Source organism: Homo sapiens, chromosome 5, assembly GCF_000001405.40.
Source record: "Homo sapiens chromosome 5, GRCh38.p14 Primary Assembly".
NCBI lineage: Eukaryota > Metazoa > Chordata > Mammalia > Primates > Hominidae > Homo > Homo sapiens.
In genome coordinates, this window is record NC_000005.10 from 180,127,570 (window position 1) to 180,141,511 (window position 13,942).

General features: G+C 58.9%; 1 protein-coding gene across 1 annotated transcript in view, besides 1 other annotated feature; it reads right to left on the reverse strand.

Annotated features, from left to right (window-relative positions):
- RASGEF1C (RasGEF domain family member 1C) overlaps positions 1-13,942 on the reverse strand; it is a 108,417-nt gene that overhangs the window by 26,775 nt on the left and 67,700 nt on the right. Inside the window, exons 2-6 of the mRNA NM_175062.4 lie at positions 10,307-10,489; positions 10,021-10,143; positions 8,809-8,946; positions 841-1,041; positions 40-114 (exon numbers count right to left, since the gene is read on the reverse strand). Coding sequence (NP_778232.2) covers positions 40-114; positions 841-1,041; positions 8,809-8,946; positions 10,021-10,143; positions 10,307-10,483 — 714 coding nt within the window. The 5' untranslated portion in view covers positions 10,484-10,489. The remainder of the gene's footprint in view (positions 1-39; positions 115-840; positions 1,042-8,808; positions 8,947-10,020; positions 10,144-10,306; positions 10,490-13,942) is intronic.
- Positions 9,480-9,979: an enhancer, noted in NCBI's record as "H3K4me1 hESC enhancer chr5:179564049-179564548 (GRCh37/hg19 assembly coordinates)". NCBI's record gives its function as "activates a minimal SCP1, AML or CMV promoter by ChIP-STARR-seq in primed H9 embryonic stem cells {active_cell/tissue: H9 hESC(primed)}" and the evidence as "EXISTENCE:reporter gene assay evidence [ECO:0000049][PMID:30033119]".

Below are 13,942 nucleotides of genomic sequence, written 5' to 3' on the forward strand. Positions count from 1 at the left end.
TGAGGCTCACTTTTGGGACAGCCCGTAAGAGCCTCCTACCTTTGTGCTGGCCAGAGGGTCCTTGTTCACAAAGGCCTGGACAAACTCCTCAGGCCCGATGTGCCGCAGCCGCTCCTGCAGGGAAGGGTGAAGAGTGGGTAAAAGAGGGAAGGTATGGGGAGGGGGTGTCCACTGGGGGGCCTGCCGTGGTGCCCCAGCCCCTAGTCCTCCTCACAACAGTCACTCTGCAACTGCCCTCCCCACTGGGGCTTGGAGACCCTGTTTTAGGTTGTCACAGAGCTCAGCGCCTTCCCTGGAGGAGGCAGCCCCTCCTTTCCCGGTTCATGGGGGCAGGGAGCAATGCTATGAGGCGTGACGCCCAGGGAAGCCAGGCTCCACGCTGGGTAACTGAAGTGGCCTGCTTCCTCTGCGGGGTGGAGGGGCTGGTGGCTAGGAGCATGGCATCTGGGTCAGAATCAAACCCTGGCTCTGTCCCTTCTGCTGTGTGACTTTGGCAAGTCGCTTCACCTTTCTGGGCCTTAGTTTCCTCTGTGTACAGGGCCTGCCTGGCCAGGTGATGGAGACATGAGCGAGCGCACGGGAGCGCGCTGAAGAGTGCCTGGAGAGCAGGGAGGTCGCCATCAACCCTCAGTCTCAAAGGGAAGAACCCGCCCCAGCCTCCCTCTCCCTGGGGTGGGCCCTTGGCCTCTGCATCCACAAGGGGCCCAGTGCATGCTCGAGGCTAGGCCAGGGCCTCCTTCACAAGCTTGTGGGGCTGCTCTGGGAAGCCAGGGAGGGCACAGTGTATCTGTGTGTGTCCTGCTGAATCCCGGGTGAGGAAGGTGGTTTGGGCCGGCTTACCAGTTCCACGTGGGTCAGCTGCTGGGCCAGTGTGTAGGGGTCGCTGCAGACACCAAGGAGCTCCCTGTGGATGGAGGCTGGTGGCTTGGTCCTGTAGGAGATGGGCTTGTCGGCACCCACCAGACCTTCTGGCCCCTGGCGCAGAGCCGCCAGCTTCTGGTGCAGAGCCTGTAGGAGCTGATGCATCCTCTTCCGGTATGCCTGGTGGGTGGAAAGAAGGGCGCTCAGGACTGAACACTCATCTCTGCATCTCTAACACTGGAACCAGGCAGCCACCTGGGCTCCAAAGGGAGGGTCTTTTCCTCAGGGTCTCTGGAGAAAAGGCCAGGTACCAGCGCAGGGGCCAGGACCTGCCCCTACCCTGAAACAGGACCCAATCCCGGCCAGGGTGGGGCCACCTGGCAAGGGATCTGGGGTGAAGGCTGCAGGGCTTCCCATCTGTGGGTGGGAGCCAAGAGGAGCACACATCAGGGAGGGTGACGGGGGCCGGGGGCAGCTGTCTGGGGCAGTGGGGTAGAGTGGGGTGGGCACGGCCAGGAAGCCAGAGAAAGGGAGAGAGGCGGGAGACATGGCATGGGCCCTGCCCTGGGCAGACGACTGGCATTTGGCTTGGCTTTAATGGGGCCTCTGTTATCTCCCAGGCCCAGCTCGGCCTTCCCCGACCAGCTGTGCTGTTGTCTGGGAGAGAGACAGGAGGTCAGTGGAAGGGCCAGGGCCCACGGGGGACTGACTGTGCCCCCCAGGGCTGGCAGTGGCTGCGCCCCACTCCCCATCTTCCCAGCACTCAGATGAAGCCCTGGGAGGCAGTGTGCCGACCACAGTTTTGGACACAGCCTTCCTTAGAGGGGTCGTTCCTTCCATGGGCAACAGATAGAAGAGTCGGACAACTGCCCGGCTAACCAGTGGGCGCCTTCTGCACCTGGCCCGTGCTCTGAGAGTTAGGCTTAGGGTTAAGCCACGTCCTGTCCCATTCCTCCCATCTGAGGCTCTGCCACAGCTGCCCACTGCCATAGGAGTGCCAGACGACTCCCAACCCCGCCACCAGAGCACAGGGCTCCAGCGTCCTCAGACAGTAGCAGCACCCCAGGGCCCTGGCTGAGGCCCCCCCAGAGCAATCGGAGCCCCCAGACCCTCACAGCCAGCATGCAGATGCCACACCTGCCCACCGCTCACTGCAGGCTCTGTGTGTCTCAAAATCGCATGAAGGAAAACTCCCTGCAATCTCTGAAGTGACCTGATGATGCCGACTGCCACCCTTCGTTATTTCCCGAGGCCTCTGGGAGCAGCAGCCTGTCCAGTCAAGGTGCGCCATCGCTGGGGACCAGGCTCCAGCTCCCACCACTGCCTCTGCCAGTGCCCAGGCCGGCTCCTGGCTGTAGGGGGTTGCATCTCACTCTGAGTTAGACCAAACCCCTTGAGGACATGAGGATGTCTACCTTAACAAACCCAGCCAGTCTGATGGCACTTCCTTGGAAATAGGGGTTTCCGAGGGGAAATAATTAGGTTTTCCTTGACGGTGGGAGAGGAGGTGCCCCTGAGGGGTGGCCACGGCCTTTCATCCCTGTACCCAGCCCATGATGTGGCCCAAAGCAAGAGCCCGTGCGTCTGAGCTGGCTGGTGGGGGTGAGCACTTACTGCGCACCCACTGTGTGCCCAGAGCAGGGCTGGGCTCTCATAGCACAGCGGCGGCAGCACAGACCTTGCAGCCCTGTGGAGCTGTTATTCTAGTGTGGGAGGAAATGACCCCATTGTCTCGACGGTGGTCCTATCAAAGAAGTCGCATAGGGTGACCTGGATGAGTACTGTTGGGAGCAGAGGCCAGGGAAACTAGGCTCCACGCTGGGTAATTGAAGTGGCCTGCTTCCTCTGCGGGGTAGGGGGCAGGGGGCCCATGGAAGGAACGACCCCTCTCAGGAAGGCTGTGTCCAAAACTGTGGTCGGCACACTGCCTCCCAGGGCTTCATCTGAGTGCTGGGAAGATGGGGAGTGGGGCGCAGCCACTGCCAGCCTTGAGGGGCACGGTCAGTCCCCTGTGGGCCCTGGCCCTTCCACGGACCTCCTGTCTCTCTCCCAGGCAAAGCCAGAGTCCCACGAGTGGCTACACCTGCTGTTTCGTCTCCTCACCCCCACTCACTCCTGAATCACTTCACCTGGCTGCCACTCCCATCAGTCAATTCGTTGGGCCCTCCTGTCACCAAAGCCAGTGGCCGTTTCTCAGGCTGCGTCTTCCTTGGCCACCTCCGCCTCAGCCTCCTGGTTGCTCCTGCCTTGGGCTGTCTGCAGGCTTGCCTGTGTTCACTGTCGTGAGATGCTGGGGTTCGGGGTTCTTCCTGCTCTGTCTAGGCCTCTCTTCTCACTCTTACTTAGCTCCTGGCTGTTCTGCTTCACACCTGCAGTCTCCCTCTGATCTCCAGAGTCATATGGGCGGCGGTCCGTCATATGGCCCATGGTCCTCTGTTTGCCCAGCACAGCAAATGGAGGTCGACTCTCCTTGTCCAAAGCTGGTATTCCCAGTGTTGGTGGATAGCGCGTCGGCCACCAGACACACAGGCTTGGTGCCATCCTCGACCCCGCCCTCTCCCTCATGCCCCTCTAGGCCATCACCACCCCTCTCTAGTTCATTTTCTTCTATTTCTGCGCATCCCACCACTGTCTCTGGAGCCCAGGCCACTGTCATCTCTCTGCTGCACTGGCCTTCTTAATGCCCCCAATGCATCCACGCCGGTTTCTCTCCACCCTGCAGCCACAGAGGTCTGTTCAAAATGCAAATCTGATCGCTGCCTCCCTGTTCCTGAAAATGCCTCCATGGCTTGTGCAAAGATAGGAGCCCTGGCGTGACTCTGAGGCTCCGAGGTCAGCTCTGGCCAGGCTTGGTGGCCTCTATGCGCCCTTGCTCCCCTTCTGTGCTCTGGACACAGGTCACTCCTCCGCCCCTTTGACTCCTTCCCACCCTCCCCATGTCCCCACTCCCCATGTCCCCGGCAGGATCTGGACAGCTTTCTCCCTTCTGGCACGTTCTCCTCATCCACTGGACCGAAGCTCAAGTGCTGTTTCCCCAGATGGGCCATTGGTGTTCAGTGCTGTGAGCCCTTCTGCCACACCACTTTTAGAGCTGTCAGGGAAATGATTCTGTTCACGTGCATCTCCTCTCCCTGGACCACAAGCTCCACACAGCCAACTGCGGGCTGCCCTGTGTTCATGAAGGGCCGTAGCTGGCTCACAGGAGGTGTCCACCAGCGTCTGCTGAATGCGTGGATAAACACCGCCTTCACCTGCTGACAGTCAGACGCTCTCTCCAGCAGGGTGTCAGGGCGGACTGCAGGCCCGTGCCAAAATCAAGGCTGCAGGGTGTCTGTGCCTACCCCTTGATAGGGCCACGAGATTGCCTTATTTTTTAAAAACACAGATACTTTAGCAAGATTTGTTACTGTTGAATGAACCAATATTCATTCCAAATAATCATCCTTTCCTGCTTGCTAATTTATTTCGATTTTTCCAGTGATGTTAGGTTCTAGCTTGTTTGTTCTTTCCTGACTCTTCTATGCCCCCTCTGAGTGTGGTTATGCTATCTGCCCTGCTCCTTGGCCTCCTCTCATTTTCTCACTGATTTCTCCACACTCGTGGATAGGAGCTTGGAGATCTCGCTGGTAGATAAGGGCAGGGCCAGAGACCTGAACCACCGAGCATGTCAAGGCATCCCCTCGTCACTATCGTGGGTCCATGTTTATGAAGCACCAGGCCGTGCTGGGGTGGAGCAGCACTTTGCCCCTCCTGCCTCGGGCTGAAGCCCTCTCTCCGCACTGATCATAGTTGGGAGGCTGCCCGGGAGGCTGGGTGGTCTGGAGCCACGTTTCCTTCTATTTCCACAAGCCATCTGCTGCGTGCATAGAGCCGGGTGTGAATGCGGAGTCGTCCGACGGTGGCCTGGGCGGCAGCCACGGCTCTCCAGGTGCCTCCAAGCTCTCTTGGACTGGGCATTTCACAGCTGGAACCCCTGTCCCTGACCAGGTGAGGCTAGATGAGCACTGGCCTTTGTTCTCTGAAATTCTAGGAGACTCCCTCCTGAGCCAGCCTAGGGCTGATGTCCTCCTGCCTACTGAATAACAGGCAGAGGTGGCAGAAAGCCGACGCAGGAGCTCGTGAGGCTCCTAGGGGTCTGCTCCCTCCATTGGTTTGTCCTCTATGTCAGCTTTCTGCCACCTCTGCCACAGAGGGAGCCTCACAGGGCAGTGGTCAGTTCCCCAGACAGTCCGTGTGGGCGAGTTAGAAAGCAAGACCAGGCCGGGCGCGGTGGCTCATGCCTGTAATCCCAGCACTTTGGGAGGCCGAGGCGGGCAGATCACGAGGTCAGGAGTTCGAGACAAGCCTGGCCAACATAGTGAAACCCTGTCTCTACTAAAAACACAAAAATTAGCTGGGCGTGGTGGCGCACGCCTGTAATCCCAGCTACTCAGAAGGCTGAGGTAGGAGAATTGCTTGAACCCAGGAGGTGGTGGTGGCAGTGAGCCAAATCACGCCACTGTACTCCAGCCTGGGTGACAGAGAGAGACTCCGTCTCAGAAAAAAAAAAAAAAAAAAAGCAAGACCAGTCCTCGGAGAGGGGCTGCCTGTTGAGTCGGCCTCCTCTGTGGCCGGCCCAGTGGGTATGGCCAGAGCACTGGGGTCCTCCCTGGCTCCCTGAGCCTCCTTCAGCCTTGGCACTGGCCTCCCTGAGCTCTAACTACTGCGTCCAACCTACCGGGAGCCCCACAAAGGCTGGGCTGCCATGACACTCCTCTGGGTCTGCTGCCTAGCACAGGGTGGCCCGATGCTGGGAAGGCTTCCCGGGACTCCCCAGAACCACGGTCATGGAGAATGGCCTCCTCAGTCCCTCTCCAGTGCTGCTCCAGCTGCCGAGAGCTGGTGTGGAGCACAGCGACGACATGGGAGTGGGCGGGGGAAAGAGGAAGGTGCCACCTTTCACTGTCACTCTGATGGGGAGCCCACTGCTGTCTCCTCTGCAGCCCTGAGCTCTGTGGTTCCCTCACAGCCCTGTGAGGGAAGAATGATCACCCTCCCTTTTACAGAAAGACACGGCCCAGAGAGATTAAGTAACTTGCCCAAAGACACACAGCTCTGAAAAGACCCGTGCTCACCTCAATATCTTGCACACAGCACTTTCTATCATTTTATTCCACCCCACCCTTGTGTGAGAAATCTTTCAAAAAGATAATGCCGAAATATTTTGGAAGCAAAGCCTATGTCTATGGTTTGCTTACAGCTAACTTGTGGGAAAGCAAAATGTGTGTGAGGACAGGACAAACCAGTTCGGCAAAATATTGTTGGAGTTGGGTGATGAGGACAGAGGAGTGCATGGTAACCATTCTTCACTTTTGTATGTTTGAAATGTTTCACAAGGAAAGTTCTGTAAAACTTAAGAAACAGCGCTCCTATGCCTGATTTGGGGAAGCATCTGTTCTCCTCACAGCCCTCATTTAGTGAGTGCTGAAGCAAGCACACACCTGACTTCAGGGACTCCCCGCTGCAAAGCTGTGTGGTGGGGACAGGTATTATCCTGTTTTACCGATAGGGAAACTGGCTCAGAGAGGCAAAGCACCTTGCTTGAGGTCACGCAGCTGTGGTTTCCCAGTCCGGATCTGGGTGGGCTCAAGCTGGGTCCCAGGCCCTGCCTCATCAGTCTGCTCCAGGGCTCTTCCATCCCAAACCATTCTGCGCCAGGAGGGGAACAACCCACAGTCCACAGCAGCGCCCAGTGAGGAGAGGCAGTGCCCAGAGAAGGTCCTCTTTGGGGTGCATGCTTTTTTGTGGAAGGGCAACTTGAGGTCACCAGAGACATGGGGAAGCACTACTGGCCGGGGCCTAGGTTGGGACTGGGGAACTCCTATTCCAGTCCACACTACACAGCCTGGTGACAGACCTGTGCGTTCTCCAGGTGGATAGGTGCTACTAGTTTCCCGAGGGGAACCAGGCCAGGGCTTACCCCAGCCCCACCACCAAGACATGGCTCCAACATCGGGCAGGACAAATCTGCCTGGTCATAGGACAGACCTCACTGCTGACCCTTGGTGGTCAAAGAGAACAAAACAGGAGACTGGGGTCTCACCCCCTGTAGACCATCCACCCAGCACCCACCATCCCCACACTCACCTCTTCTCCAGCCACGTGCTACCACCCACCTCCCCTTTTATACAGTGACCCACCCCAGATCCATCAGTTCACTCCTCTCCCCTTCCTTCCTTCTAACATCTGCCCACTCACAAATCCACTTGCCTACCCATCGGTCCACCATTCACTTTCACTCATCCATCCCCATCCACCTGTCCCCATCTCTTCACCCAGCTGCTATCACCCACCTCTTTTACAGTGACCCCCAACCCCCCAACAGAACTGTCAATTCACGCATCTACCCTTGCTTCCTCCTTTCTAGCATTCACCCATCCACCCACCCACCTGTCCACCCTTCCTACATTTCTCCCTCTCTTCTTTCCATTAATCTTTCCACATCCACTTACCCCATGCATCCACCTGCCTATCCAATTACCCAGTCACCTATTCTTTCCCACATTCATCTATAAAAGTAGCCAAATGTCTTCCCAGCCGGCCAGCCAGCACCCCATCCCGTTTCCGCTGTCCCCACCCCCCCCGTCCAATCATCAACTGTTCCCTGGCCCTGTTCTGTGCTGCATCCTAAGCCAAATGTCACAATCTCGAGATGGATTAGGGGATGCGGAGGAGGGAGAGGAGGCCATGAGGAGCAGAACAGAGGAGGGGAGAAGTGTGGGGAGGAGGAAGAGGAAACCACTCTCACCTCACTGAGCCTCAGAACTTGCCTGCTCAGTTCTGAGTCACTTGCCTGCTGTGTGAAGTGACCCCGGGCAGTGCCTCCCTCAGAGCCTGAGTGATGTCTGCTGTGGGCGTTTGGCTTCCTGTTGCCCAGCCTGTCTTGGCAGTTTTCCCTTTTCTCACACACAGCTCTTCTGCCATGTCCAGACCTACTCTGCGGCATGTCACCAGCTACCAGCTTGCCATGTTCCATTTCCTTCCAGGACGGTCAACATGTGCCCCCGCCCACGTTTCCCCCTTCCAGGTAATGCTACACCAGTGCTGCCCACAGTGGCGCCCTGGGATGCTGATAAACTTGCCCCTTCTAAACACACCAGGAGACGTCTAGCTCCATAATCCTGGGAGGTGAAGATTTTTGTCCTCCTTTCGCCCATAAGGGAAGTGAGGCTTGGAGACCCTTCAGTGTTCTCCTCAGAGTAACACAGCTGGGAGAGCAAAGCAGGTGTGGGCCACAGCAGCACTTGATGCCCAGCACACCTAAGGCCTCCCAAGCCGCTGGGGTTCCTGAGGGCAAGGGCCGTGTTTACCTGGTGTGGTTTAACTGCAGGGGGAGGTCTTGTCCCCTCCTCTGCCCCTACCCTGAAGGTTTGCAGCTTACCCGTGGAGGCAGAGAGGATCTCAGGAAAATCTGTTTGGACAGATGTGGCCATTTTCCTTGCTACTGTTTTTTTGTTCATCCTGTAGACACTCTTCCCTGGCCCTGATTTGCAGGTCCCTGCCTAGCAGCACTGACAACCAGCCCAGCCCTTCTTGCACGGGAAGTGGGGCAGGGGCAGGAGGGGGTAGGTCTCCGTGGCCAAGGCCCAGGACAGGGCTCTGCCAGCCCCGCCTAGTAGGTCAGAGGCCAACAGCCTGGCCACCTGGCCCCAAAAGCCCAGGAATGGGTCCCCCCTCACCCGCCATCTGATGCCATTGGTGAGAGCAGTCAGGGAGAGGTCACCAGACTCCGCGTTCCCTCCCAGCTCGGCAGTGCCTGATTCCTTGATAGGCCAGAAAGCGGCTGGATTTGGACGGGCCGTGGTGTGCAGGGTGGGGAGATGAGGGCCCTGGGGTGCGGGCCGGGAACAGGCGCAGGCCTGGGACGGGAGGGACCCAGGGTGACGCGACCCCCGCCCAGCTGCCCACCTCGTCACAGGGGGCGATGCGGCCCACGACGTCCTTAAGGTGCCCGATAGTCGACTCTTCCTGGAAGTCCCTTGGGAAGGTCTCGGTCCACTCGGCCAACAGCTGCAGCAGTTTGGGGCCGAACTTCCGGACCCGGGCCTACGGGCAAGCGAGGGGCACCGCGCTCGTGAGGGGCGCCGGGTGGGCACGTGAGCCTCACTGCGCGTCCTTGCGGGTCTGGCCGCCCGGGGCAGGCAGGGCCTCGTGCCCTCTCTGTGCCAGGGAGGAGGAGGGGGGTGCGATCCTGCTCTGCGCCCACGGGGAGAGGAGGGGGGACGGACACATTTCTGGGCAGGGCCATCTCTTGCTCTGGCCTTTCTGCGGTTGACGGCTCCATCCTCCCTGGTGAGTCTTCGCGCTGCGGGGAGTGGGGAGTCCTCAGAGCAGGGGACCCTGCCCCAGGGGTGGGTCTAGGTCTGTGCCGACCAATCAGAGCAGGCATACGCCATCGTGCACAGTGATTGGCTCACAGGTGGCCACGTGACCTAGGATACGCCAATGAGGAGACTCACTGGGCCAGTAGAGAAAAGGAATTGAGGCTTCCACGTGACCGGAAAGGGTGGTAGGTGAGCCTGGTGCGGTGGAGGCGGCCAAGCGCCACACCAGCCAGCCCGAGGGAGGCCAGCCCCGGGAAGCGGCAGCAGAGGGCGGGAGGGAGACAGGCCACGGTGCAGTGCTGTGGTGTGAGGCCCGAGCCAGCGGTCCCTGAGATAGGGCAGGTACACGGGCCAGCTAAGTCCTTTTGGTTCAGGCGGGTTGAAGTTGGGTCTCTCCCACTAGCGGTAGAGCCCTACCGACGCGTGTGCAATAGAGGCAGCCCGCAGGACCCGGCCAGGACTGGGAAGGTGGAGCGGATGTGCTGGGGGAAGGAAGCCCACCAGAGGCAGCAGGCCCTCCCGGCCACAGATGGGTCCTACTGACCGGGCTCCGGATACTCAGGTCTGGGCTTAATGGGCTCAAGGGTTCCCGTCGGGCACTGGAAAACTACATGGAGGTTAAAGGTCCTGTTCTGCTCCTTCTGGCTCTGGGCCTCAGACAAGGTGGAAACACCCGGTAGCCACCTTGTCAGGAAAACGGGGACAATCATTGCCTCCCCGAGAGGCTGATGCGTTGAGGGCATGGCAGGGCAGTGCTGGTACACTCTGAGACCCCCTGGCCTGCCCTCCGCCTCACCTTGTCCAGCACCGGCTTGTCCAGCTGCTGCTGCTCGATGCACAGGTGGCAGACCCGGGCCAGGAGCTCCCGGGGCTCGATGAAGAGGCGAGAGCTCAGCAGGAAGGTGAAGATGTAGGCTTTCTGGGGGACACACGAGAAAGAGGGCACAGGCTCAGGAGGGCACCAGGAGGGGCATGCTTCCCAGCTGGCCCTGTACCCTGGCCCAAGGTCACGCCCAACCCTGATGCCCCCCGTGCGTGGTGGAGGAGAGCCCACTCTCCTGCCCGCTGGGTGGATCACCCACCTCGGGGTAGTAGTCGGCTGTGGGCACCAGGTGCTGGATCAGTGTTTCCAGGGAGGCTGAGGATGGCGCTCCATCCAGGAGGGGCTGCCCAGCCTGTTCGCCATCTGTGGGCTCGGTGGGGGGTGGGCTGAGGCTGCCTGGGGTGACCATGTCGGAGGCACTCAGCGTCTGTGGCATGTCTGCCTGCAATGGCAAGGAGCAGTGAGGACCTGAGTGGGGGCACACCTGAGTTGGGTGCACCTGAGTGGGAGCTGCTGGTCCCGGGGCTCCTGGCTGGGCAGGCTCCCCCCACAGCCACTTTGTGCCAGCTTGAGTCCAGTGGTCACTTCCTGGGAGTATTGTCAGGGCCCCTTCCTCACAGCACAGCCTTCATTCTCCGTCTTCTCATGGCCTCTCAACTCTCCTGCAGGACCCATCTCTTGTCTACTCCTCTTGCCCCACTCAGGGGCAGGCCTCTTCTAGATTCTTCCCCCCGGCACCCCTCCACGAAGGTTGTTTTTCACAAGCCTGGATAATCAGCCTAATCCCCCTGCTTCTGGCCACAAAGATTGGTTCAGGGATTGGCCCCATCCAAATTAGGGGGGCTCAGCTGCAATCCCAGAACTTATGTGGCACTTGGAGGCTTTCTTTCCCCCTGGAGTCCTTGAGCTGGTGGAATGTATGCCCGACGCTACTGGGGCCATTGTGGCAGGAAAGTGGGCACATTCCTGAGCACAGTGTCGCTGTGCTGAGCACAGAAGCTGCTCCATGGACTTCTCCATCACATGTGCCTCTTTAAGTTGGGGTTCTCTCAGGTACAGTCAAAACTGCTGTCCTCCTTAACCTGGCATTCTGGGCTCTTTGTGATTTGGACTAGCTGACCTGTCCATCCTCACCGCCTATCACACCCCATTGCTCTTGGCACCAGCCACGTTCTCTCCTCCAAATGCCTTCTCCAACTCTGAACCACTGCACATGCCGTTCCCTCCTGCAGGAAGGCTCTCCCACCATCTTCACTCCCCTATCCCTCCAGGTATGGCTGAAATGCCTCGTCCTCGGTGAAGCCTTCCCTGCGTCCCACCAAGGCTGCACCTGACCTCTGGTGGGCATCAGCAGATTCTGCTTGTCAGCCTTGTTGGGTGCCTGGGTGCTGCTGTCAGTACCTGGCACAGGGAAAGGCCAGCTGCAGCCGTTACAGTGTCTTCTCTACCCAAACCTCCAGGCAGAGGCCAGAGCACATCCTCTGTGACCCTGCTCTGAGTGACGGGCCTGGCAGCAGCAGGTGTCCATACCCACCTGCAGGGAGCCCATGCTTACTCTCAGAAGCTCTTCCACTTACCCCTCTAGGCCAGTCTTCCTTGAAAGCCCAGGAGCCCTCACAGTGACGCATCCTGGCTAAACCTGTGACTGTTTAGACAGCCCCTACATTCTTGATCGTGGAGTCCTGCCAGCTCACTGCAGGGTCTTCTATGGACTCTGAGGCTCCCCTGCTCATGCCGTCCTTGCTGCCCCGATGGCAAACCCTGACCCTGGCCTATTTCTCCTTTGCAGCACTCTGAGTGACCCTGCCCTGGGAGTAGAGACAGAGGGACGTGGTGGGTCAGAGCTGACACTGGGGATCAGAGGGAGCCCCTCAGAGGGCTGTCCCGTGGCCATGTGGGTGTGGGAGGTGCTGGGACTGGGTTACAGCATGGGAAGGGCTCAGGCATTGGTGTGGACAGCAGCCCAGACAGTCCTGGCCATGGTGACAGACAGCTTATTTTCGCCTCCCTGACAATGCTGTAAGTGTTCAATTTTCAGCCAATGAAACCGTAAAATTTCACAAAATCACCTCCTGTCTGTCCCAGGGGGAGGCGGCTGAGCAGGTGGGCATGCAGGAAGCTGCACATGCTCAGTGGGAGGGGGACAGCTGCGGGATGGGCCGGCTGCAGGGTGCACGCTGCTCTGCCTCCTGCCCAGGGCCCGGCAGCTCAGCCTGATTCCACAAGATAGAAAACCTGTGAGCCTGGGAGGTCCGTTGTCTCCTGCTGGACACCTGGCACCTGTTCACCCTGCAACGCTGGGCCTGCCCCAGATCCCAGCCCCATTTTCTTGACAAGCCAGTGGCAAGGGTGGAGGTGGCTCTGGAAGCCTCTGCAGGATGGTGGGAGGTGCCATGCAGGGGCCTTTCTGAAGGAGGCCAGGAGGCTGCCACTTTAAAGAGACAGCCAGGAGGCTCCCAGGGGACCTGGGGCCTGGCCTGGACCCAGGTGCTGGGCACATGGGAGGTGGGAGCAGTGTTCAGATCCAGCTCTGCTCTGGAGCGACTAGCTCTCGCTGGAGCCAGGGGTGGTGGTGGTTGCTGAACTATTGTGACCCACAGGGATGCCCAGAGAGGGGCTGGGCTGCCAGTGGTCCTCCGACCTCCAATCACCCATCGTATCACCAGCTGGGTCCAGGTCTGGGTCTCAATGAATGGGCTTATCCTTGTGCCGCAGCCTTCAGTTTTTTCCTGTGGTTGCCAAGGGTCATCCATTCATGCGTGTATGCATGGGGTGACTCCTGGCTCCATTCCAGGCAATGGGGACAAAGCCCGACCTCAGGGAGCTGGTAAGGGAGGCAGAGCTGTGCAGAGACTGCCCCACGGGAGGCGTGCTGTGAGGGAAAGGGGGTGACCACTCTCTGTGCTCACTGCGGTGGATGTCCTGGCCCCTAAGAGAAGGTGAGGTCAGAGCTGCTGCTACCAGCGGGCTCCCCCACCACTCCCACCCCTCCCTGCAGGCGTGCTGGTGCAGACAGGCCAGGTGCCCACCTCTGGCCTCTGCATGAGGACAGCTGGGGACACAGAGGACACTGCTGCTCCTCCATCCGCCAGGGACAGCCAGCTCCTCCTCCCTCCAGCAGGAGCTCCAGCCTGCCTGGAATGGGCTGGGTGAGGGTGGCTGCACTGAGGGCTGACGGCAGGATGCAATCGGCAGAGAGACATGCCAGACAGACTGACCAGCATGTGCAGAGGCTCGGCGGAGCGGGGGGCAACGTGGTGTGATCATGGGAGTATATGCTTAGGTGTCAGGAGCCAGGCAGTGGCTCCTGGAAGTGTAGTGGGGAGTGACTGAGTTGGGGTCAGGGAGTGTGCAGAGTGATCAGAGCATCACGTTCCTTGTGTGCAAAAACAGCCATGTAACGAGGGTCCCTCGCTCCACCTGTAAGTGACGCTTTTATTAGTTTCTAGTCTTTCTGTAGCTTCTTTACGCAAAGACAAGGACATGTAAACACATAACCCCTTTTCTGTCTGTATTACACAAAAAGGTAGCATACTGTCCACACTCCCCCGCACTGGGCTTTCTTCACTAACAATGCGTTTTGAGGACCTTTCCATGGCAGGGCAGGGCTGCCTCATTCATTTTTATAAAAATTGCCTCACAATATTCCATTGTTTGGATGTCCACAAATAATTTTTAAAAAGAAATGAGGCAGCAGCCCAAGCGTCCATCAGTGACGAATGGATGGAGAAAACGCCTCTCCACACAGTGGGGCAGGAGTCAGCCTCAGAGAGGAAGGAGGTTCTGAGCCTGCGGCAACACGGATGACCTTGAGGACGTCATGCTAAGTGAAATGAGCCTGACACAGAAGCACAAACACTGAGTGACCCCACTTGTGGAGGCACCTACAGTCATC